Source organism: Homo sapiens, chromosome 2 (genome assembly GCF_000001405.40).
Source record: "Homo sapiens chromosome 2, GRCh38.p14 Primary Assembly".
NCBI classification, from domain to species: Eukaryota; Metazoa; Chordata; class Mammalia; order Primates; family Hominidae; genus Homo; species Homo sapiens.
In genome coordinates this window covers 27,308,971-27,332,835 of record NC_000002.12, presented here as the reverse complement: position 1 = coordinate 27,332,835, position 23,865 = coordinate 27,308,971, and the positions used below count along the sequence as shown (strand labels likewise).

Here is a 23,865-nt window from a genome sequence, read left to right as displayed (position 1 = left end):
GCTGAGGCAGGAGAATCGCTTGAAGCTGGGAGACGGAGGTTGCAGTGAGCCAAGATCATGCCACTGCACTCCAGCCTGGCAACAGAGGGAGACTCCATCTCAAAAAAATAATAAAATTTTTAGGCCGGGCACGGTGGCTCACGCCTGTAATCCCAGCACTCTGGGAGGCCGAGGCAGGCAGATCACGAGGTCAGGATATCGAGACCATCCTGGCTAACACGGTGAAACCCCATCTCTACTAAAAATACAAAAAATTCCCCGGGCGTGGTGGCGGGCTCCTGTAGTCCCAGCTACCCGGGAGGCTGGGTCAGGAGAATGGCGTGAACCCGGGAGGCGGAGTTTGCAGTGAGCCGAGATGGTGCCACTGTACTCTAGCCTGGAGGACAGAGCGAGACTCTGTCTCAAAAAAAAAACTAAAAATAATAAAATTTTTAAAAAATTAAAAAGTGAGGAACATCATTTCATGCAGTTCTTTATAGATAAAAATAGAAAGATTAGAGGAAAGAGTTTTATAAAAATGGGATCAGCCAGGCATGGTGGCTCACACCTGTAATCCCAGCACTTTGGGAGGCTGAGGCAGGAGGATCGCAGCCCAGGAGTTGGAGACTGGGCCACATGGTGAAACCCCATCTTTAACTAACTAGCTAACTAACTAAATAAATGGGATCATACTGTGTAAAGTATTCTAAAAATGTATTAAATTTAATTATATCTTAATTTTATAGAAGAAAAAGACACTAAAGTCACACTGAAATATTGGCTAAGCTCCTGATGAATGTTCCTTCACTATAAGCGACACTAGTTCCTCCAAGATACTTTTAGAATTAAAAAGACTATAAATAAGTTACAAATAATATTAAGTAGTTGGAGTTATTAGGTTTTGTTTTGTTTTATTTTCAGATAGGGTCTCACTCTGTCACCCAGGCTGGAGTGCAGTGGCAAGATCTTGGCTCACTGCGTCCTGGACTTCCTGGGCTCAAGCAATGCCCCAGCCTCAGCCTCTGGAGTAGTTGGGACTACAGGAACGAGCCACAATGCCTGGCTAATTTTTGTATTTTTTGTAGAGACGGGGTTTCGCCATGTTGCCCAGGCTGGTCTTCACCTCCTGAGCTCAAAGTGATCTGCCTGCCTCAGCCTCCTAAAGTGCTGGGATTACAAATGAGAGTTACCATGCCTGGCCTAGATTGTTATTTTTAAATGACAGTGTTATTGGCCAAGTGTGGTGGCTCATGTCGGTAATCCCAGCACTTTGGAAGGCCGAGGCGGGCAGATCACCAGGTCAAGAGATCGAGACCATCCTGGCCAACATGGTGAAACCCTGTCTCTACTAAAAAATACAAAAATTAGCTGGGCAGGATGGCGCGTGCCTGTAGTCCCAGCTACTCAGGAGGCTGAGGCAGGAGAATCGCTTGAACTGGAAGGCAGATGTTACAGTGAGCCAAGATCGTGCCACTGCACTCCAGCCTGGCAACAGAGTGAGACTCCGTTTCAAAAACAAAATGACAGTGTTGTTTTTAGATATAAGTAGACTTTCTGCTAGGAAGATAAGGAAATTAGCACTCTTACACGTCTTTTTATCATCCCTTTCGCCATGTTTTTTCTTTTGGTGGTATTATTCTTACATTGTCAAGGTACATGATTCTCGATGCTGTTCTGCTTTCTTAATTCCTAAACTTGATTGAGTGCCTCTACCAGTCCATTTATCTTAGTCTCCCCTCCAATTGCTGAATTATTTATATTGCATGGCTATAATTCATCGTCAACAAACTTTTTCAAGAAAGGTTCATAGGTGCTGCATTCATTCCCTGAGTGGCTCAGCCTTCTGAGTAGCTGAGACTACAGGCATGCGCCACCACACCAGGCTATTTTATTTTTTTTGAGACAGGGTCTGTGGGGTCCAGGCTGGAGTGCAGTGGCATGATCTTGGCTCACTGCAACCTCTATCTCCCGAGTTCAAGCAGTTCTCCCACCTCAGCCTCCTGAGTAGCAGGGATTACAGGTGCATACCACCAAAGGCCAGCTAATTTTTGTATTTTTAGTAGAGATGAGATTTCACCATATTGTTCAGGCTGGTCTCAAACTCTGGACCTCAGGTGATATGTCCACCCTGGCCTCCTAAAGTGCTGAGATTACAGGCATGAGCCATCGTGCCTGGCCTTTTTTTATTTTTTAGAGGTGGGGTCTCACTATATTGCCCAGGCTGGTCTCAAACTCTTGGGTGCAAGTGTTCTTCCTGCCTTTACCTCCCAAAGTGCTAGGATTACAGGCATGAGCCATTGCACCTAGCAACATTGTGTTGCTTTTGACTTTTTGCCTGTTCTCTTTGTCTTGGGGCAGAGTTAGCGAACATTTTCTTTTTTTTTTCTTTTTTTTTGAGGTGGAGTCTCGTTCTGTCTCCCAGGCTGGAGTGCACTGGCGTGATCTCGGCTTACTGCAACCTCTGCTTCCTGGGTTCAAGTGATTCTCATGTCTCACCCTCCCAAGTAGCTGGGATTACAGGTGTACACCACCACACTGGCTAATTTTTTTTTGTATTTTTAGTAGAGATGGGGGTTTTACCATGTTGGCCAGGCTGGTCTTGAACTCCTGACCTCAAGTGATCCACCCGCATTGGCCTCCCAAAGTGTTGAGATTACAAGTGTGAGCCACTGCGCCTGGCTTCCTAGAGTTTTTATGCTTTTTTTTTTTTTTTTTTGAGACGGAGTCTGCTCTTGTCACTCAGGCTGGAGTGCAGTGGCACAATCTCACTGCAAGCTCCGCCTCCTGAGTTCAAGCGATTCTGCTGCTTTAGCCTCCCGAGTAGCTGGGATTACAGACACCCACCACCACATCTGGCCAATTTTTTGTATTTTTAGTAGAGACGGGGTTTCACCATGTTGATCAGGCTGGTCTCAAACTCCTGACCTCAGGTGATCCACCACCTGCATTGGCCTCCCACAGTGTTGAGATTACAGGCATGAGCCACCGTGTGCCCCACCTATGCTTTTTAAAAGTCCCTTGACGTTTATTTATAGGGAGTAGAGAGAGGTGCATTCTACTCTCTGCACTAGGTGTGTTCACCCTATCATTTTTCAACTGTAGATTCCAGACAAAGCTATTACTTTTTTGTTGATGAGAATTAGGGTTAAAATACCAGGTTGAGTCTTTAAGCCCTGGAGGGAGTGTTGGATAGCTAATCAGGATCCCCACATCCTTTCATAGTGGTTTGGATCTGAGGGTAGAAGACAAAGGTCCTAGGAGCCCAGAGAAAGAAATTAGAGCAAGGAAGAGAGAACTTGCTTTTAATGCTCACACATTCTGTCCTTATTTCAGGCATGGTGGTTTTCTGGAACCTTCCCACTAACTCACCCCTGCAGCGGATACGGCTCTCTGATGGCTCCTTAAAGCTCTACCCCTTCCAGTGTTTCCTAGCCCATGACCAGGCTGTGCGTACCCTTCAATGGTGCAAAGCTAACAGGTATGGAATAGGAGGTATGTGGAGGGGGAAGGTGAAGACTGGGACAGGCTGACTTCCGGATTTGTTTGGATTTGACCTTCTCCCGTCTTTTTACAGCCATTTCCTTGTCTCTGCGGGGAGTGACCGGAAAATCAAATTCTGGGACCTTCGACGTCCTTACGAACCCATAAACTCTATCAAGCGCTTCTTGAGTACAGAACTGGCCTGGCTGCTTCCCTACAATGGTGTCACTGTGGCTCAGGACAACTGCTATGCCTCGTACGGCAAGATGGAGATAGGACCTCTAGGGACAGGCCCTAAGGGTTGGAATGCAAAGCATGCCAGATTGTTGTGGGGAGAGGAGGGTAGAGAGTTGGTTCACTGAGGTGGTTTAAATTCTGGAAGAGGTTAAGAAGAAGAAATGAATCTAAAGAAAAGGAAGGTTTAAATTTATTTCTCTTTTAACAGTTATGGACTCTGTGGGATTCATTATATTGACGCTGGTTACCTTGGTTTCAAGGCCTACTTCACTGCTCCTCGAAAAGGCACCGTTTGGGTGAGCCCCCCTTTCTTTTGCAGTCTTCATTACAAAGGAAAATGGCTCATTTATGCACTATTAGTAGTCAGAGGCAGTAGTTTTGGGTAGAAGGAGAAGATAGGGATGTTGTAACTCTATCATCAGGGCTGTCGGTTATGGTAAACTCATTTTTGTTTGTGTGTCTGTCTCTCAGACTGTGCAGCTGTTACCAGTTCATAGCTCTGAATGAATATATGAATGAATGAAATCTGTCTCTTTCTATTAGAGTCTTTCAGGATCCGACTGGCTTGGGACAATAGCTGCAGGAGATATATCCGGGGAGCTCATTGCTGCTATATTACCAGATATGGCACTGAATCCAATAAATGTCAAGCGACCTGTAGAGCGAAGATTTGTACGTATACGAACATCTAACAGCAGCTGTTGGATCCTAACCCACATGCCCTCCCAAATTCTGGTAGAGTACAAACTAGTGTCAGGTCTCCCGGCCCTGATATCCCAGAAAATCTTAGCACAGAGTTGTATATAATCTTCCCTACCGTACTGCATCTGAGCATATATTTAAAGATACTACTTTTTTCCATCTTTAAGCCTTTCCTGCCCAAACCACTTTCCTCTGCTTTTATTCTGTCTTGAGTATTATAGAACCTAATTTCATGGTCTCCTTTCCAGCCTATATATAAAGCAGATCTGATACCGTATCAGGACAGTCCTGAAGGTCCAGACCATTCTTCTGCTTCATCTGGGGTCCCCAACCCTCCTAAGGCTCGAACTTACACTGAAACTGTCAACCATCACTACTTGCTCTTTCAAGACACAGATTTGGTAAGCTGAGGCCAGGAGAATGGGTGTGGTATTAGAAAAGGTAGAAAACTTTAGTCTTTGTATAGTACGCAAGCCTGAGTTCAGCACAAAGATGTAAAACTAAGGAGCCTCGGCCAGGTGCAGTGGCTCATGCCTGTAATCCCAGCAGTTTGGGGGGATTAGGCGGGCAGATCACAAGGTCAAGAGATCAAGACCATCCTGGCCAACATGGCGAAACTCCGTCTCTACTAAAAATACAAAAATTAGCTGGGCGTGGTGGCGCGTGCCTGTAGTCCCAGCTATTCAGGAGGCTGAGGCAGGAGAATCACTTGAACCCAGGAGGTGGAGATTGCAGTGAGCCAAGGTCACACCACTGCACTCCAGCCTGGCAACGCAGCAAGACTCCGTCTCAAAAAAAAAAAAAAAAAAAAAAGGGCCAGGCGTAGTGGCTCACACCTGTAATCCTAGCACTTTGGGAGGCTGAGGTGGGCGGATCACCTGAGGTCAGGAGTTCAAGACCAGCCTGACCAACATGGTGAAACCCTGTCTACTAAAAATACAAAAAATCTGCCGGGCGTGACGGCGGGCGCCTGTAATCCCAGCTACTCAGGAGGCTGAGGCGGAGAATCACTTGAACCTGGGAAGCACAGGTTGTAGTGAGCTGCCAAGATCGCGCCACTGCACTCCAGCCTGGGTGACAGAGCGAGACTCCGTCTTAAAAAAAACAAACGAGCGTCTCACTTTCTCTCTCCTATTCCATTTCCCTTCCCCAGGGTTCATTCCATGATCTGCTCCGTAGAGAACCAATGCTGCGCATGCAGGAGGGAGAGGGGCATTCTCAACTCTGCCTGGACAGGCTGCAGCTGGAGGCTATTCATAAGGTAGTCTCTCATCCTCTCCACCCTCCACTCTCATTTCCCCCCAGTTCTGGGCCTGGGGCTGATGAAATGGTAGATGAAAAGGTTACACAGATGACAACCTCCTCCTCCTCCAGAGCATGACAGACGTACCTCATTCACTGGCTTTTCATTCTTACCTCTGTCACCCCTCATGGTCCTGTCCTTTCAGATTGTGGCTCATTTTTTTTTTTTGTTCATACAGCTAGGAGTCACCCTAAAGCACCACCCATGAGCATCTCTCTCTTGTTTTCTGTTCTCTTCACAGGTACGTTTCAGCCCAAACCTGGACTCCTATGGATGGCTGGTATCTGGGGGGCAGTCAGGGCTGGTTCGAATCCATTTTGTCCGTGGACTCGCCTCCCCACTGGGCCACCGTATGCAGCTTGAAAGCCGAGCCCACTTCAATGCTATGTTCCAACCATCCTCCCCCACTAGACGGCCTGGCTTCTCTCCAACCAGCCATCGCCTTCTGCCCACTCCCTAGCCTTGGCCCACACCAGATCCTTGGAGTGAAGTCGGTCAAGAACAAATGGCCCCTATGCACAGAGCCATAGGAACTGGGGGCCTTCCCTGGACAGTGATCATGCCAGGCCTGGACCTTTAGGCCTGCCTCCCCAGGACTCCTTAGATCCCACTCTTTCTACAGACTTCTGTGATCACAGCCCCCTGCGGGCAGGGGGGCTCTCCCTCCACCAACTCTCAAGGCTCCTCAGCCTAAGACTATGGCTCATGAGAAACACTCAGGCCTGACCTAGGCTTGGGAGTCAAACTGCTCATATTGAGCATATTGTTAAGTGGGTAAAGCCAAGTAAAGGTACTGGGTGTTTTTGTGACCACTTGTGAATGGGTGTATGGAGAACTGAAAAGGGTATCTGCATGAAGGCTCCTGTCTGACTATTCCAGGATCCAATATTACTGCCTTCTGAAACTTCCTCTTTAGGGTAACCATCATGTATGCCCACGAGGGTGATAGTAATTCGTGAGACTGAAGTTGCTTAGAGTACTTCTTTGACCAAGGAATACCACAGACACCCTACCGATAGAACAGTGGCTCAGATCTTACTTGCTCCTGCTTACGAAGTATTCCCAATCACTGGTCATCTGACCCTACTTGAACACTCCTGAACAGTCATGTTTTTTAAAATCTTCCTTTATATCAAGTCAGAGAGTATACTTCTATAAATTTCACTCATGGATGTTAGGAAATCTAGTCATCTTCCCTGTGATTGCCCTGTTAAGTATTTAACCATAGCTATCATGTGTTTCCCAAATCTTCTCTAGATTAAATATCTTCAGTTACTTCAACCATTCTTTTACACGTCATGATTTTTGATCCTTCATGATACTGTCACATTGTTGACTCATTAGAATGTTTACCTACTTCAGTTCTATGTATAGGAGGTGTTTAGAACCCAAGTACTGTAATGTATTGTTATATCTCATCTTGTTAGAGTCCTCTTGTGGGATGCTGCAGACTCACAGTGACTATGATACTGCCTCCTAAGCAAGGACACACCCCAGTGATGAGAAATAGGCAAACCATGGTCTTGAAATGCCTAGGAGTATAGGCTGGGGTTTGGAGGGAAATAGTTGGATGACCTCAGGAAATAGAAAAAAACAGGCAGCTGCTTTTTGGAGAGAGTGGAGATGAGATCAGTGCCTACCTGGAACAAAACCCTCTGGCATTCTAGACTGGCTGAATATGTAGTGTAGGGACTTTATCATCTGTCAGAAAATCTCCTTTAAGAAGAAGCGATCAAGAAGTTTAGTCCTGGCCAGGTGTGGTGGCTCACGCCTGTAATCCCAACACTTTGGGAGGCCAAGGCAGGCGGATTACTTGAGGTCAGAAGTTCAAGACCAGCCTGGCCAATGTATGGTGAAACCCCGTCTCTACCAAAAATGTAAAAAATTAGCCAGGTGTGATGGCACACACCTGCAATCCCAGCTACTCAGGAGGCTGAGGCAGAAGAATCATTTGAACCTGGGATGCAGAGGTTGCAGTGAGCCGAGATCCTGCCACTGCACTCCAGCCTGGGTGACGGAGCGAGACTCCGTCTCAAAAAGAGTTCAGCCCCTATCCTGTACAGATGAGAAAATAGACCTGGAGGAAACCCAAGTCTATCAACAGCAGAGACCACAACCCATGTCAGTGCAAAGAAGCCAAGTGTTGCACTACCCTATTGGGATCCAGCTCACATTGAGCCAGTTTTGTTTTTTGAGCTGTTACGCAAGTGCCTTCTGTCGAAGAGAAGCTTTACTCAATTCTACAGGGCAGCCCCCTTCCTATTTTCAGTGGTAGAAAAGATGAGACCTGGGGATCCACACTTGAGGCTGTAGATTGGTGCTGGCAGCCCTGCTTCTGCAACTGAGTCTCAGCCCTAGTCTTGACCTTGTTCTTTTTCTCTAACAAGCCTTTTCTCTTTCTAACCCTCCCTCCCAATATACCCACTTCATACTATCCATTGTTCATACACTTCTCTACCTTTATTCCTCTTCTCATATTCCTCCCTTCGCCAGAGTGTCTTTTTCCACCATCTTCACCTGAGTTCAATTCATCCTTCAAGGTCCCGGCTCAAATTCCACCTTCACCAAAGAGCTTCCCAGTTTTCTCCAGTAAAAAATAGTTTCCCTCCCTTGTGTTCCCAAGGGGGAAGGGAGGAAAAAGGATAAACAAGCATTAAGCACTTGATCCATTTTAGGCACTTCGCATGTGTCACTTGTATGAGGTAGGTATTGCCATTTTACTTAATGATAAAAGAGTTGGAGAGGGTAAGCTGTCTGTAAAAGGTCAAGGTCATATAACTAGTAAGTGGTGGTGCTGGGGATTTGAACTCAGTCTAACTTCAGAATATAACTTTACAGCCTACCACATTTGGTCTCCTATTACATTTACTTTTGTCAGTTCACTCCTCTAGCATGCTGTTTTGCAAATAGCATTTTAGTTAAATGTTTGTGACATTGACTTCTCTTGCTTCCTTACTCTGTTTCTCCAGGATTTGTGGCAGGAGTCTCCCTGCCTTAATCATAAAGGAATTGAGTAAATTGGGGGTGGAGCTGGGCAGGTGGAGAGCCTGAAAGAGTGTGCCTCCTGACGTGTGGGCTCCCTGGAGATAAGTAAAGCCTGCCAGCCTGACAAGTCCATTGCCAGGGATATTGTAGACATTTCCAACGCTCTAGAAAGGATATTGCTCTATATTCACAGACTCTTAGAATGTTAGAGCTGGAAGGGGATTAAGAAATCACCTAGCTTACTGGTTTTCAAACATGCAGTTGTGGGCCCCGTTAAAAATGGGTCTTTTGAGAAGTATATACTTGGAAAAAAAAGTTGGAGAAGCAGCTGTAGTAATGCTGCCCCTCTCATCCCCACACACAAACATCTGAAAAATCCCTAGAACTGAGGAGCCGAGTTTGGAAAGTCAATAGTGTAACCTCCCTCATTTTACAGATGCAGAGCCTTAACATCAAGTCTAGTCATGACCAAGGCTGCACAGCCCGTTAGTTTGGGAGCCAATACCTAATGTCTTCTGAGGTTCTAATTCCAATGCTTTCTGTGGAAGAATCATACATACGCAGTATTTCTTAAGTGGCTGTTTGCGGCAAAGCACTGAAATAGTTGCTATGAGGACGACAAATATGAACGACCCCAGTTTTACCCACTCATGAGCTCACAGTTGAGGCCAGTGAAGAACCTAGAGACAAAACACGCACTTAACTATAACTTATAGTTCCCTAACTACGATTGCTGAGACAAGGATCGTAGTTATGGCCAGTTATGCGGGGAGGGTGGGCTGAACAATGAGACTACCGGATTGAGAGAGGCCCGGGTCTCGCGCGGAGAGAAGGGGCAGGAGGAGGCAGAGGGTCGAACTTAGGTGAGAAATATGGCTGGCGGGCCCCACACCAGGGTCCGGCACAGTCCAGCTGGAAAAGGGGTCTCTCACAGAGTGGGTGGCCGAGTTAGGCCGCTCTCCACGGGTATTCATGGCTCGGTCCACCCCCATTCCTGTCCTGGCTGCGTAATCCGAAGGACGCTGGGAGGAAGGGGCGGGACTTGTGGCGGAAGTTCCTAGGCCAGCCTGTCACGTGGGAGGGAGGCTCGGCGCTCAGGTGAGTGGCGGGTGATCTGCGGTCTCTGGCTTAAAGCGTCGCAAGCCATGAGTGCCCACAAGGTGTGTGGTCATCCTATATCCGGGCAGTGACGGGCCCTATTTTCGGTTTGGAGCTGGACTCAGGAAGGTTACAAACTGGTTCCAACCAAGTCTGAATCTGGAGACGGACCAAGCTATCTTTTGAGGCACCCAAGCTCTGGGTAGAAGCCAGAGCAAAGCTGTCCTCATGAGTGTCTCCGTCGGGAACGGAGGCTTCCAGGTGGTCTGGCTTCAGGAATGAGGTTGGGGTGGCTGGTGGCTGCTACCAGGAGTCCATAGCTTCCCACAGCCTTTCTCTCTTCCCCAATTGTCTAAGGCGACTCCTGCGACAGGAAGCTGTCTGGGAAGCATCCTTCATGTGGCCTCTGCCCCTTTAAGTCACATTGGAAGTGGGAAGGGGAAGGGAGTGGGCACAAGGGAATGTCAGGCGGCTTCTTAGTCGTGGAGAGGGACGGTGGGGGTGACCCCCTCTCCTCTTGGCTTGACAGGAAGCATGGCACTCTGGCGGGCATACCAGCGGGCCCTGGCCGCTCACCCGTGGAAAGTACAGGTCCTGACAGCTGGTGAGTGTCCCTCTAGGACTTGAGTGGGACCAGGGCAGACTGATTTGGAAGCCAGAGGCTTGCCCCACTGCACCACCCTCACTTCCTGTTTCTATTCGGCTCTCTTGAAGGGTTGGCTGTCTTTCATCCTACACTGTCCCCAGTCTGTTTTGGAGGGTGGTCCCCAAGGCTGTTTTTAAGGGGTATGCGTAGTTGGCCAAGCTGTGCAGTAGGGTTTTAGGATTTCAAAGTCCTCAAAAAGCTGAACAGTCAGCCCTGAAGGATAAAGGCATTGCCCCAGGAGGCCTCAACTTGGAAAACATTTTACCGTATGCAAAGCACTTTCATATACGTTATGGCATAGGGCCCCCACAAAGGTGTGTGAGCTAGGAGGGTTACTTGAGTCCACATTAGATCACACCTAATAAGTGCTGAATCAAGACTCTTACCCCAGTTTTTCTTGGTATTTTTTATTGTGAAACATACAAAAGAATGATTAAGATGTGTATGTACAGTTTAAATGGCATTAAAACTGAACACTCCTGTGTCAGTAATCAGCTTTGAGACCTCTTGAGTGCCTCTCCGTAATTCACCCAAAATTTCCTGAGTTTTGTTTATATCGTTCATTTGCTTTTGTTATCATTTACTGCCTAAATATGTATCTCCAAGGTTAGTATATTGGTATCTGATCACTCCATCCTGATCCATTTGGAGTGATCAGATACCAGTCACTCCAAATGCAGTGATTGAGTACTAACCTCACAGAGGTAATGCAGTGACCTACCTGCATTTGTTACCATCTTCATTTTGCAAGTTAGCTAATGTAAGAGGATGGCATGAAGATAAGTAAGTCTTAGAGGGGGAATGTCAGAAGGCCTTAGAACATTGGGGTGCAAAGAGTGATCACATTAAGATGAGGTCTTGCCCATGTTTAGAGAAGGGGAACAGGATTCTAGTGATGACTGGCCTTCTGAGAAGAGGACTATTGGAAGGGATTGGGGGCTACTGAAGGCCAGAGTGGAACAGGGATCCTGTGACCAGAACAGCCCTGCATCGGCACAGAAACTTAACTGCATGAATGGCCAGGAGATGGATTCTTTGGCCCTTCCCTGGGCCCCTCTCCAGTCTCCGGTGCCCAACCACCTCTTGTCCTGTCCTCAGCGTCCGTCAGCCTGTATGACTCACCTGGCTACGTGTGTGGTGACTCATGCTGGACAGTGTGGCTATGATGGGAACTGACACGCTGGGCCCTTTGCCCAGGCTCAGATTCCCTCAGGGCCCATAACTGCCAGATGGAAGATTCCCCCTTGTGGTCATCAAGAATAGGGAGGGAAAGAGTCCTTATATTTCCCTACCTGAGGCATCTGCAGCTGACAAGGGCAGGAGCTAGAGCTCCAAGGAGGCCTAGGTGCCGACATGTGGCTGGAGTTCTGGGCTCTTGGTGCTGGAGCCCTTCAGCTCCACAGCCTCAGTCTTCCTGAGGCTATGCTGACGTCCCAGCTCAGCCCTGAAGCAAAATGTAGCCTCCCAGCACTTTTCCCAGACTTTTTCAGACCATCCAGACTTTTCCTTTCCTGCTGTTCACTGTATTTGGATCAAACTACAAATAAAAGGTGGAAGTGGCTTTAGTTCACTGAGCCATTTTTGGACCCCAGCACAGTAGTTCCTAAGGTCCCATGGGATAGCTCATCACACTGGAAAACAGTACAGAGATTTCAGACTTAGAAGACCAGGATTTGAATCTTAAAACCATAGCACCTAGTAGGTGCATTAATCAGGACAAGTCAGTAAGCTTCTTTGAGCCTTAGTTTCCTCTTTTAAAACTTGAGTTTAGGGACTGGGCGCGGTGGCTCACACCTGTAATCCCAGCACTTTGGGACGCCGAGGTGGGCAGATCACGAGGTCAGGAGATCGAGACCAACCTGGCTAACACGGTGAAACCCCGTCTCTACTAAAAATACAAAATTAGCCGGGTATGGTGGCGCATGCCTGTAATCCCAGCTACTTGGGAGGCTGAGGCAGGAGAATCACTTGAACCCATGAGGCAGAGGTTGCGGTGAGCCAAGATTGTGCCATTGCACTCCAGCCTGGGCAACAAGAGCGAAACTCCATCTCAAAAAAAAAAATCAACAAAAAAAAAATCTTGAGTTTAGTTATATGACCTCACAGGGTCAGTATAGGAGTATCACTGTGAAAAGGTTTTGGACATTTTTTTTCTTTTTTTTTTTCTTCGAGATGGAGTCTTGCACTGTTGCCCGGGCTGGAGTGCGGTGGCGTGATCTCGACTCACTGCAACCTCCGCCTCCCGGGTTCAAGTGATTCTCCTGCCTCAGCCTCTTCAGCAGCTGGGATTATAGGCATGCGCCACCACGCCCAGCTAATTTTTTCTATTTTTAGTAGAGACGGGATTTCACCATGTTGGCCAGGCTGGTCTCGGACACTTGACCTCGTGATTCACCCGCCTCGGCCTCCTAAAGTGCTGGGGTTACAGGTGTGAGCCACTGAGCTCAGCCTTTTTTTCTTTTTCTTTTTTTTTTTTTTTTGAGATAAGGTGTCACCCTGTTACCCAGGCTGGAGAGTGGTGGTGCTATATCAGCTCACTGCAACCTCCGCCTCCTGGGTTCAAGCAATTATCATGCGTCAGCCTCCTGAGTAGCTGGGACTACAAGTGCACAGCACCACACCAGGCTACTTTTTTGTATTTTTAGTAGAGATGGGCTTTCTCCATGTTGGCCAGGCTAGTCTTGAACTCCTGACCTCAAGTGATCCGCCCACCTCAGCCTCCCAGAGTACTAGGATTACAGGTGTGATCCAGTAGGCCCCACCTGGAAATGTTTTTAAATGCTCAGTGAACTTAAAGACTCAACAGGTTGGTTCTTTCTATGAGTGTTGGCAACACAGGCACAATAAACTATTTTATTATTATTATTATTTGAGACGGGGTCTTGCTCTTTTGCCCAGGCTGGAGTGCAGTGGCATGATCCCATCCTGAACTGTGACTATGCCACTGCACTCCAGCCTGGGCAACAGAGGATCCTCTGCCTTAGCCTCCCGAGTGGTTGGGACCGCGGGCTTGCACCACCATGCCCAGCTAATTTCTTTTGTTTTTTGGTAGAGATGGGGTTTTGCCATATTGCCCAAGCTTTATTCTTTTTATAGTGGCGTTTGGGTTAGGTTTGTTCCACTTGCCATAATCTGAACATGGATCACTATCTTAGCCTTGGGTTCCGGAAAGCAGAGCCTGAAGCTTATGTGCAGATACCTTGTTAGGTAGTAGGGAGTGATCCCATGGAGGGAAAGAGGGAGAGCCACTCTAAGGATGCATTATTGAATTAGCCACTGCTAAGGGCAGCTGTTGCTCAGTCCCTTGGAACTGAGAAACTTTTTGAAATACTCCTTAAAGTGTCTGGGCGTGGTGGCTCATGCCTGTAATCCCAGCACTTTGGGAGGCTGAGGTGGGCGGATCACCTGAGGTCGGAAGTTTGAGACCAGCCTGGCCAACATGGTGAAACCCCGTCTCCACTAGAAATACAAAAATTAGCTGGGCATGGTGGCGGGTGCCTGTAATCCCAGCTACTCGGGAGACTGAGGCAGGAAAATTGCTTGAGCCTGGGAGGCGGAGGTTGCAGTGAGCTGAGATTGCGCTACAGCACTCCAGCCTGGGCGACAGAGCGAGACTCCATCTCCAAAAAAAAAGAAAAGAAAAGAAAAGAAATACTCTTTAGGACTGTCTGGATGAATAGCTATTTTCTAGAGAAAAGAAGAAACCTTTATCTGCCACTCCCATCCCACAATGGTCAAAGATTCCAAAGACTTACCCCAGGCTGGGTATGGTGGCTCACCAGCACTTTGGGAGGCCGAGGCAGGCAGATCACTTGAGGTAAGGAGTTCGAGACCAGCCTGGCCAACATGGTGAAGTCCCGTCTCTACTAAAAATACAAAAATTAGCCGGGCATGGTGGCGCATGCCTGTAATCCCAGCTACTCAGGAGGCTGAGGCAGGAGAATTGCTTGAACCCAGGAAGTAGAGGTTGCAATGAACCAAGATCCTGCCACTGCACTCCAGCCTGGACGACAGAGCGAGACTCCATCTGAAAAAAAAAAGGCCGGGCGCAGTGCTCACGCCTGTAATCCCTGCGCTTTGGGAGGCTGAGGTGGGTGGATAACCTGAGGTCAGGAGTTCGAGACCAGCTGACCAACAAGGTGAAACCCCATCTCTGCTAAAAATACAAAATTAGCTGGGTGTGGTGGCAGGTGCCTGTAGTCCCAGCTACTTGGGAGGCGGAGACAGGAGAATTGCTTGAACCTGTGAGGCAGAGGTTGCAGTGAGCTGAGATTGTGCCACTGCACTCCAGCCTGGGTGACAAAGCAAGACTCTGTCTCAAAAAAAAAAAAAAAAAGAAAAGAAAGATTGACCTCATGGGATAACTCCGCTCCGCTACTAGTTCACACATGCATAGTCACTGCAGCCATCAATAGCAAAGGCCCAGGTGTGGCACAGGCCTGAAGCAAGAATCTATCCAGTAGAACTGCAGTAATGGCTGGAGTAAGAGATAGTGAATCAAGAACATTTGAAATGATTCAAAAGAAATGTCTAGTATACCAGTTTTGGCCAAGCCAGAGTCCAGAACAAGGTAGCCTGGGGAAAGGTTTACTGTATGTTCTATGGAGTGTGAGTCAGCCTTATCCCTTCCTTCTTTGAGGGCCCTTCCACTCTCCAGTGGGCCCAGGGCCGAGCTTCATCCATCTTAGTCTACTCGGTCCTGCTGTGGGAGCAGCTGAGCTCTTACAAATACTGGTTTCCCTGGAGTCTGAATTAAGCCAGGGTATGAGAGCTCAATAGGCCTTACATACAATCCTGTCCAGCCCAGGAGACTGCAGAGAAGGAAACTGAGGCAGGAGTGGGAGTGTCATGCACTGAGGTCTCAGATAGTCAGTGGCTGAGCTGGCGTTATAACCTAGGGCACTGCCCACCATACTGCCTTGCACTTGAGACTACTGGAGCCTCCAGATGCTGAGTGCAACCCCAGCTGATCTGAGCTTAGATACGTAACAAGCTGCAAAACTACCCGTTTTGTCTCATTTTCTAGCAGTAGGATGGGTTCAGGTCAGAAATGGGAGAGCATTCAGAATAATCCCAGAGGATCCACTCCCCTCCCGCTGCTGGGCTTCCACTCCCTCTGGGCTCTGTGCCAGACTGAGCCCCTATCCTAGGCAGCTAACTAATGTTTGCAGACTTCTGGGGAGGAAGGCAGCACTGCTGGCCCCATGCCAGTAGCTATACCTGCCGACCCAGGCCTCCTGGACTGAAGGACACGCTTCCTGCTCCTCACTCCAAGAAGCCACTTCTTGCCCCTCTGCCTTCTGCGCATGAAACTCAAAAGCCACAAAAGTAAGTAGAGGAACAAAATAGGAGAAGTAGGGAATTTACCCTGCCCATGCCCGGGAAGAGGGTGTGGAAGTTGGGGCTTTTCCACTAGTGGGCAGGAAGTGGTCCCAAATTGATCTGCTCAGAGGCAGGCTCCCTTCCCCCTGGCCGCTGGATCTGTTCGGGAGTGACGGCATGAGAACTGGCACCTACCCAGGGGCATGATGTCACACCTGCGCCAGCATCTGCTCGCTGGGCTCCACGCCCAGCCTGTCATTGGGCATCACTGCCCAGCAGCCCCTAGCCCTGCCCCATCAGGCCTCTGGCCATTATGTGTCTGCAGGCCTCCAGTCCCAACTCCCTAGAAACAAGTCCAAGGGGAGGGGGCCCAGAGCACTGGAGAGTCCAGACCAACCAAATATATCCAGGAGATCTCCCAGAGGCTGGGGTGGTTTGGGTCTATTTGGGCTCTGGGTTGGGAAATGTGGGATGAGGAATCTGAATGTCTGGGTCCTTCCTGCCCAAAGGGTCACTTGGGCTGGAAAAGCAGGCTTGCTCTATGCTTGCTCCAAAGCCTTATACCACCTTGGAGTTGCTGCAGGCACAGGGGGCCTGATCATCTGTGGGCAAAGGAATCCCTGGGCACCACTCTTCTGAAATGAACCGTCAGGGACTGCAGATCTACATACCACCTACTCACCCCTACTGCTGCCCTGTCACTTGGTAGTCCCTCAGGCTTGATGGGCACAGTCTGGGGGACTTGAATCCATCTTTCTCCAAGGCTGCAGGCTTCCAGAACTATGGGGCTAGAAGTCAGGGACTTGGCTTTTCATTCCAGCTCTGCCTCTAGCTTGTTGTGTGACTGTTGGCAAGTCATGAAGAGTGAAAACACACACTTCTCTGTTTCTTTCCCAGGAATATTGCTGTCTGCCATCCCCACGAGGTGACAAGGAGCAGAATGATGGAATTTGGGGGAGTAAAGACAGAGAGGAAGTGCATTAGTCTAGGGAATGTCCTTTGATATGCAGGCCCTTTGGGGCCTCACTTGGGCAGGAACACCCAGCAGGGGAGCAGCCACAGGGGCCTCCTGGTGCCACTGACCTCTGAGCCCATCTCAGCCCATGCCAGGAATACCCTGGCCTCCTTGGTCCTCCTTGAGAGAAGGCCTGGGTTCAGTTCCAACTGCACTCCTTACCAAGTCATCTCATCTCTCAAAGACTCATCATTAAATGGGGGTGTAGGCTGGGTGCCGTGGCTCACACCTATAATCCCAACACTTTGGGCGGCCAAGGCAGGTGGATCACCTGGGGTCAGGAGTTTGAGACCAGCCTGGCTAACATGGTGAAACCCCATCTCTACTAAAAATACAAAAATCAGCCAGGTGTGGTGGTGGGCACCTGCAATCCCAGCTACTCAGGAGGCTGAGGCAGGAGAATCGCTTGAACCCGGAAGGCAGAGGTTGCAGTGAGCGGAGATCGCACCACTGCACTCCAGCCTGGGCGACAGAATGAGACTCCATCTCAAAAATAAATGAGTGAATGAATGAATGGATGAATGGAGGTGTGACCACCTACCTCCCAGATCTTTTGTGAGGATTAAATGTATAAGAGTCTTTTGTAAACACCTTACCAAAGTAGACCGTTACACTGTTGGTCCCTTCATTTGAGAAAGGACTGCCTTTTCTGCCTCACCATCCCCTGGCCTTCTTGGCAGCACTCTTCCCTTTCTGCAGGGCTGCAGCAGCTCCCTCTCATCCCTGGCTGGAGGGATAGGGAACCGGGTGCGGGTGGGAGCAAACCTGCAGTTCCCCCGACGTCCTCACACCTTCTACCCGACTTGGACCTTTGGGCAACTTAAGAATTCTTCAGACCCTTTCTCAGAGTCGTCCTGCTGTTTGGGACAGTACATTTGACGTTTTCCCTTTATTTTCTGAGCACCTACCAGTAGCTTGCTTAGCTGCATGGTGAGGGGATGGGATAACAAAGGTATCTAGGATTCTATCCTTGGCCCTGGGAGGTCATGCCTCGCAGTGTTCTGGGAAGACCCCCACCACTTTGGGAGTTTCAGGGAGAGACGAGGCAGGACTGGGGGTGCCCAGAGCTGCTCCATGGCCAGTAGCCGAGGTGAGCCACGGGTTTCCATCCCCAACCCCAGCTCTCAGCCATACCCAGCTGCCACTGACTAGGCTGCTCAGGGGCAGGGCCGGCCGGGCAGAGGGTGTGGAGGAAGAACGCAACAGTGAGTGTGCAGCCAGCATGGACGTCAGAGCCAGTTCTGGGCCAAGGAATGGGGCAGAAGGATGTGTTTGTCCAGTGCTAATTGAGGGCACAGGGACAGTGTGACTGTGGGTCTGGAGGGGGGCTCTCATTACTCGGTGAGATAGACAGGTGAGCTGGAAATCACACGGTCACTCCCAAGTGGCCTGGTAAGTGTGTATTTGCTAGAAACCATCACACCACCATAATGGACTGGGGGCTCTGTAAACAGTGATGATTTCTTTCATCGTTTCTGGGTGTGGGTGTCTAAATAGGGCTGCTTGGAGCTGGGTATCTGTGCAGTTGGGGCAAGGGAAGCAGGTGCAGAGTCCTGGAAGGGAAATGACCACTATATCCATTGCCAACTCAATCTAAGGTTGTGAATGGGGGAAATCTTGGTTTAGCTGATTGTGCTAAGAGGTGGCCAAGACTCTTTGTTGTGGGGACTCTTATCAGCTCAACCAGTCATCTTCCTGCTTATGACCATTTGAGCACTCTTGTTTTATTACTTTTTTTTTCTTTTTGAGATAGGGTCTTGTTCTGTCGCCCAGGCAGCAGTGTAATGGCGTGATCACTGCAGCCTGGACCTCCTGGGCTCAAACAGTCCTCCTACTTCAGCCTCCTGAGTAGCTGGGACTACAGGCACGTGCCACCGTGCCCAGCTAATTGTTTAAAAAAATTTTTTGTAGAAGTGGGGTCTTGCTATATTGCCCAGGCTGGACTCAAACTCTTGGGCTCAAGCAATCCTCCTGCCTCAGCCTCCCAGAGTGCCGGGATTACAGGTGTGAGCCACCATTCCAGGCCGGCACTCTTGTTTTAGAAAAAGATTTATTCTGGCCAGGCACAGTGGCTTATGCCTGTAATCTCAGCACTTTGAGAAGCCGAGGTGAGCAGATCACCTGAGGTCAGGGGTTCAAGATCAGCCTGGCTAACATGGCAAAACCCCATCTCTACTAAAAATACAAAAAATAGCCAGGCATGGTGGTGGGTGCCTGTAGTCCCAGCTACTTGAGAGGCTGAGGCAGGGGAATCGCTTGAATCGGGAGGCAGAGGTTGCAGTGAGCCAAGATCATGCCACTGCACTCTAGCCTGGACAACAGAGTGAGACTCAGTCTTTAAAAAAAAAAGTTATTCTTGCTGTTCTCTACAAATAGAGATCCCCTAGACCAAGGTGAAAGCTGTTGGCAGGGTCTTGCATTGGGCTTGGGGGAGAAAACAGGGTTTCCTACCATTCTACACATGATTTATTCATTGTGCTGAGTCCTGGAAAGAACAGTGTCTAGGAATCCAGCCACCTGGTTGTTGCATTGGCCCTGCACTTACTGGTTATGTGAGACCCTGGACTTCATTTCCATACCTCTAAAATAAGTGGTTTGCATTAAATTATCTTAAAGCCCCTTTTGATTCTGACAGTCTGTGGTTCTCAGCCCTGTGGCCTTAAATTCTCCTTCCTCTCTCTATACTTTCTGACTCTGACTTCCCTTTACTGCTCAATGCAAAGTTCCTGGACCTGGGTCTGCTCATCCCAGTTTCTGACAGAATACACATGAGGTGTCACCATCATTGGGGAGGTGAGGGCTTTGAGGCAGCAGGAAGGGACTAGTCATTTGTTTCCACAATGAAGCCCTGGGGTTCAGAGTACCAGAGCCTCAGTGGAGGTCAGCAGATGTCCCTCCCTCCTTGGAATGGCAGCCCATCCCAGGAGATGTCCTGACAACACCTGTGTACCCTGCATAGGGTCCCTGATGGGCCTGGGTGACATTATCTCACAGCAGCTGGTGGAGAGGCGGGGTCTGCAGGAACACCAGAGAGGCCGGACTCTGACCATGGTGTCCCTGGGCTGTGGCTTTGTGGTAAGTTCTCCCCTCAACAGGGCTTCAGTGGACTCAACAGTGGTCTTAGTTCTTTGCCATCCTTTGGCTTCCCTTGGACTCTCACACCTAAGCCAACCTGCCGCCCTCTTTTTTCTTAGTGTCCACTTCCCCTATTCTGATACTTGGGGCAGGGAGCTTAGTGAGGTAGAGGCCTAGGGCTCCCTCACTGCAGCCTGCTGCTATCTGGGGTTTACTTCCAGGGCCCTGTGGTAGGAGGCTGGTACAAGGTTTTGGATCGGTTCATCCCTGGCACCACCAAAGTGGATGCACTGAAGAAGATGTTGTTGGATCAGGTGAGCAGGAGAACAGAGTGGGGAGGGTGAGCTGTGTTGGGGGTAGGTGGGGATTTCAGCACTCATAGGACTTTAATTTCTCTTCCCTAGGGGGGCTTTGCCCCGTGTTTTCTAGGCTGCTTTCTCCCACTGGTAGGGGCACTTAATGGACTGTCAGCCCAGGACAACTGGGCCAAACTACAGCGGGTGAGCTGGGCAGGTGTGGAGAATGTCTCTGGCTGGCGGGCTGACAGCCCAGGGGAAGAAGACAGGTTTTACAGGGATAAAAAAGGGGGTAAGTGCAGGTAGGGCCCCAGGCCATGGAGGAGAGGAGCTGAGGGTTATGGTGCAGGAATGTGCTCTTTGAACCCAAGTCTGTGTGTGACATTCATACTGGGAAGTGGGAGCTGCTTGGAGGCGCAAGTGTTAATTTGTTCCTTCTCTGTCTCCCCAGGATTATCCTGATGCCCTTATCACCAACTACTATGTAAGAGCTGACACCTCAACTGCTTGTTCTCCTGCTTCCTTAAGTCTAGAACTGTCCTGGGATTGGGGGGTCCTCCTGACATGGGAAACCCTTCCGTTGGGATTACTCTTTCATTCCCAGGATGGGCACCATAAATAGGGAAGCCATCACCCAACTGTTCACCTTTTTCTTGTGTGCAGAAGTTGGGGTAGGGCCAGGCAAGACAGTGAGTCTGGGGTCAGGTGGTGGGGCAGCCATCCAACCTTTACATTTTCTCTTGCAGCTATGGCCTGCTGTGCAGTTAGCCAACTTCTACCTGGTCCCCCTTCATTACAGGTATGTTGCACCCCTACCCCACCCATCAAGGAAGACCCACGTTACCAACAGTTGGAGACAAAATGATTCTCATTTCAACCTTGAGCTACCTTAGACCCCCAAACGGAACACTGAGCCGTGATCAGAGTTCCTCAGATTCCCAAGCGTGTTATTCAGAATGTCTTGCCATTTCCGGAAACTGTCCCAGAGTGTCTGCCCACTGACCTTCTTCATCTCCCTAGGGAGGATCCTGCTTCTACCACCCTTGTCTCCATCCCACCTGAGCTCCGTCTTTGATGGCATATCTGGAGGGACAGTGGCTGGGGTGCTGCAGCCTAGGTTAGACAGAGAGGTAGACCAGAAGGCCAAGTAGGAGCCTGGTCAGACACTCACAATAAAGACAGTTGCTGAACTGCACCCAAAAAGATAGTGGCACTGAAGATGTGTGGTTCAAATGCTTGAAGGTGAAGGATCGTGGGAACAGGGGAAAATATGGAACGCTTCAGAGGGAACAGGGCCAAAATGTACATGAGTAGCATAGCTAAAACGAATACAGACTGGCTGGGCACGGTGGCTCACACCTGTAATTCTAGCACTTTGGGAGGCTGAGGCAAGAGGTTTGCTTGAGTCCAGGAGTTTCACACCAGCCTGGGCAATATAGTGAGACCTCATCTCTACAGAAAATACAAAAAATTAGCCAGTCACATGGTAACATGTGCCCGTAGTCCCAGCTACTCGGGAGGCTGAGGTGGGAGGATCACTTGAGCCTGTGAGATGGAGGTTGCTGTGAACTGAGATTGTGCCACTGCATTTCAGCCTGGTGACAGAGTGAGACGACCCTGTCTCCAAAAAAAAAAAAAAAAAAAAAAAAAAAAAAGGCTGGACACAGTGGCTCACGCCTGTAATCCCAACACTTTGGGAGGCTGAGGCAGGTGGATCACAAGGTCAGGAATTCGAGACCAGCCTGGCCAATATGTTGAAACCCTGTCTCTACTAAAAATACAAAAATTAGCTGGGTGTGGTGGCAGGTGCCTGTAGTCCCAGCTACTCGGGAGGCTGAGGGAGGAGAATCGCTTGAACCTGGGAGGCGGAGGTTGCAGTGAGCCAAGATCTTGCCACCGCACTCCAGCCTGGGCAACAGAGCGAGACTCCGTCTCAAAAAAAACCCGAAAAAACAAAAAAGGAATACAGACTTATGAACCAAATCCTAAACATTAGGGTCCTTTGCAACACTCTTTGAAACCAGAGCAAGGTTAATTTAAAACAGAAAGATGCTACTTTATATGATAGTCCGTACATTTCGGAAGATGAAATCTCAGCTGGTACAAGACAGATCAATGAACTTAGAAGGGGCCCAGATAGGGGCCCTTTCTGTGATTAACAGAGCTATGCATGGCAAGAGAGCCGCTGAATATTTAGCCTTTGAGGCTCTCAGCCAGGAAACAGAGCTCTGGGATGGCACTAGAATTTGAGCCAGTTGTCCTTTAGTGCAAGCCACACAGGCCCTTCATAGGGTGCTGAAAGGGCTGGGTGTCGTGGCTCACACCTGTAATCCCAGCACTTTGGGAGGCCGAGGTGGGTGGCTCACTTGAGGTCAGGAGTTCGAGACCAGCCTGGCCAACATGGTGAAACCCTGTCTCTCCTAAAAATACAAAAATTAGCCAGGTGTGGTGGAGCACACCTGTAGTCCCAGCTACTTGGGAGGCTGAGGCACGAGAATTGATTGAACCCGGGAGGCAGTGAGCCAAGATTGTGCTACTGCACTCCAGCCTGGGCAACAGAGGAGACTCCATCTCAAAAAAAAGGTGCTGAAGGAAAGAGACCTAAACCTGCCAATCCTTTGTCATGATCCCTCCTTTGCCATTTCATGCTCCCATCTCCAGCCCTTGCTCACTGCTTAGCCTTCCTCCTCTTCATTGTGTTATTCCTGTTCCTTAGGTTGGCCGTTGTCCAATGTGTTGCTGTTATCTGGAACTCCTACCTGTCCTGGAAGGCACATCGGCTCTAAGCCTGCCTCACTCCATCGTTTCCACCTTGCAGTGATGCAGCTTGACCCTGGAACGGTCAGACAACCTCCTCAAAGTGGGCATACCAGTTTCCACGGGGTTGGGTTGCCGGTCAGAGCTTAAGAGGACTAGCACCCTGCAATGCCCCTCTTCACTCTAAAATGTACACTGACTGCTTTAGAGCCCTTGATAATAGTCTTATTCCCACCACATACTAGGCACTCCATAAATATCTGTTGAACCTTCATGACCTTATCAACTTTACACCCATATCCCAGCAAATGCCACTCATCCCCACTCTTCATAGACACATTTGTTACTCTAACCCTGCCTAGGCTTCTTGTAGCTCCAGCTCTTTAGAGACTCCCGGAACCCTTTATATGGTGCCTCAGTAAATATGTTATTAAATATGTAATCCGGAATCTGCAGTGGTAATGAGTAAGTTTTTAAGCAGAAAACTATTGGGGAGTCATTTCTAGAGCTGGAAAGAAGCCAAGAGACCACCAAGCCCAATTTTTTTTTTTTTTTTTTTTTTTTTTTTTGAGACAGGGTCTTGCTCTGTCTCCCAGGCTGGAGTGCAGTGGCGCGATCTTGCCTCACTGCAGCTTCCGCCTCCTGGGTTCAAGCAGTTCTCCTGCCTCAGCCTCCTGAGTAGCTGGGACCACAGGCGCATACCGCCACGCCCGGCTAATTTTTGTATTTTTAGTAGAGATGGGGTTTCGCCATATTGGCCAGGCTGGTTTCAAACTACTGACCTCGTGATCCGCCTGCCTCGGCCTCCCAAAGTGTTGGGATTACAGGCGTGAGCCACCGCGCCTGGCCAAGCCCAGTCTTACAAATGAGGACCCTGAGGTTGGTAGGAGGGAGGTGACCTGTCCACACCAGGAGTTAGCAGAAACTTGAACCCATATTTCTTTGCTGCTCATGGGCAGAGTTACACTGC

General features: G+C 49.2%; 2 protein-coding genes across 21 annotated transcripts in view, besides 9 other annotated features; both read left to right on the top strand.

Annotated features, from left to right (window-relative positions):
- The window catches only part of GTF3C2 (general transcription factor IIIC subunit 2), a 30,911-nt gene extending 23,929 nt beyond the window's left edge, over window positions 1–6,982 (top strand). For all 18 annotated transcript variants that reach the window (NM_001394514.1, NM_001394516.1, NM_001394512.1 and 15 more), the window contains 7 exons: window positions 3,313–3,457; window positions 3,554–3,715; window positions 3,905–3,992; window positions 4,240–4,368; window positions 4,647–4,799; window positions 5,552–5,659; window positions 5,943–6,982. In NM_001394514.1, the coding sequence (NP_001381443.1) occupies window positions 3,313–3,457; window positions 3,554–3,715; window positions 3,905–3,992; window positions 4,240–4,368; window positions 4,647–4,799; window positions 5,552–5,659; window positions 5,943–6,161 (1,004 nt within the window). In that variant the 3' untranslated portion in view covers window positions 6,162–6,982. The remainder of the gene's footprint in view (window positions 1–3,312; window positions 3,458–3,553; window positions 3,716–3,904; window positions 3,993–4,239; window positions 4,369–4,646; window positions 4,800–5,551; window positions 5,660–5,942) is intronic.
- Window positions 8,930–9,902: an enhancer, noted in NCBI's record as "NANOG-H3K27ac-H3K4me1 hESC enhancer chr2:27545801-27546773 (GRCh37/hg19 assembly coordinates)". NCBI's record gives its function as "activates a minimal SCP1, AML or CMV promoter by ChIP-STARR-seq in primed H9 embryonic stem cells {active_cell/tissue: H9 hESC(primed)}" and the evidence as "EXISTENCE:reporter gene assay evidence [ECO:0000049][PMID:30033119]".
- Window positions 9,739–23,344, top strand: MPV17 (mitochondrial inner membrane protein MPV17). 3 transcript variants are annotated; one of them, NM_002437.5, is made up of 8 exons: window positions 9,739–9,784; window positions 10,314–10,388; window positions 19,727–19,842; window positions 20,064–20,156; window positions 20,247–20,342; window positions 20,590–20,622; window positions 20,885–20,937; window positions 22,855–23,344. In NM_002437.5, exons 2-8 carry the CDS (start codon window positions 10,319–10,321, stop codon window positions 22,922–22,924), a joined length of 531 nt encoding a protein of 176 aa, NP_002428.1. In that variant the 5' UTR covers window positions 9,739–9,784; window positions 10,314–10,318; the 3' UTR covers window positions 22,925–23,344. The 3 variants fall into 3 exon arrangements, with proteins under 3 accessions (NP_002428.1, XP_005264383.1, XP_016859640.1); XM_005264326.5 differs by having other exon boundaries at window positions 9,739–9,846; XM_017004151.2 differs by lacking the exon at window positions 9,739–9,784 and adding an exon at window positions 15,663–15,758 and having other exon boundaries at window positions 10,251–10,388.
- Window positions 10,025–10,084: an enhancer, noted in NCBI's record as "active region_15498". NCBI's record gives its function as "activates an Ori minimal core promoter by ATAC-STARR-seq in GM12878 lymphoblastoid cells {active_cell/tissue: GM12878}" and the evidence as "EXISTENCE:reporter gene assay evidence [ECO:0000049][PMID:35858748]".
- Window positions 10,135–10,184: an enhancer, noted in NCBI's record as "active region_15497". NCBI's record gives its function as "activates an Ori minimal core promoter by ATAC-STARR-seq in GM12878 lymphoblastoid cells {active_cell/tissue: GM12878}" and the evidence as "EXISTENCE:reporter gene assay evidence [ECO:0000049][PMID:35858748]".
- Window positions 10,195–10,284: an enhancer, noted in NCBI's record as "active region_15496". NCBI's record gives its function as "activates an Ori minimal core promoter by ATAC-STARR-seq in GM12878 lymphoblastoid cells {active_cell/tissue: GM12878}" and the evidence as "EXISTENCE:reporter gene assay evidence [ECO:0000049][PMID:35858748]".
- Window positions 10,295–10,344: an enhancer, noted in NCBI's record as "active region_15495". NCBI's record gives its function as "activates an Ori minimal core promoter by ATAC-STARR-seq in GM12878 lymphoblastoid cells {active_cell/tissue: GM12878}" and the evidence as "EXISTENCE:reporter gene assay evidence [ECO:0000049][PMID:35858748]".
- Window positions 11,440–11,734: an enhancer, noted in NCBI's record as "tiled region #12628; HepG2 Activating DNase unmatched - State 1:Tss, and K562 Activating DNase matched - State 5:Enh". NCBI's record gives its function as "activates a minimal TATA promoter and a strong SV40 promoter by Sharpr-MPRA in HepG2 and K562 cells {active_cell/tissue: HepG2 | K562}" and the evidence as "EXISTENCE:reporter gene assay evidence [ECO:0000049][PMID:27701403]".
- Window positions 11,440–11,754: a biological region, named in NCBI's record as "Sharpr-MPRA regulatory regions 9483 and 12628".
- Window positions 11,460–11,754: an enhancer, noted in NCBI's record as "tiled region #9483; HepG2 Activating DNase unmatched - State 1:Tss, and K562 Activating DNase unmatched - State 5:Enh". NCBI's record gives its function as "activates a minimal TATA promoter and a strong SV40 promoter by Sharpr-MPRA in HepG2 and K562 cells {active_cell/tissue: HepG2 | K562}" and the evidence as "EXISTENCE:reporter gene assay evidence [ECO:0000049][PMID:27701403]".
- Window positions 11,757–12,360: an enhancer, noted in NCBI's record as "H3K27ac-H3K4me1 hESC enhancer chr2:27543343-27543946 (GRCh37/hg19 assembly coordinates)". NCBI's record gives its function as "activates a minimal SCP1, AML or CMV promoter by ChIP-STARR-seq in primed H9 embryonic stem cells {active_cell/tissue: H9 hESC(primed)}" and the evidence as "EXISTENCE:reporter gene assay evidence [ECO:0000049][PMID:30033119]".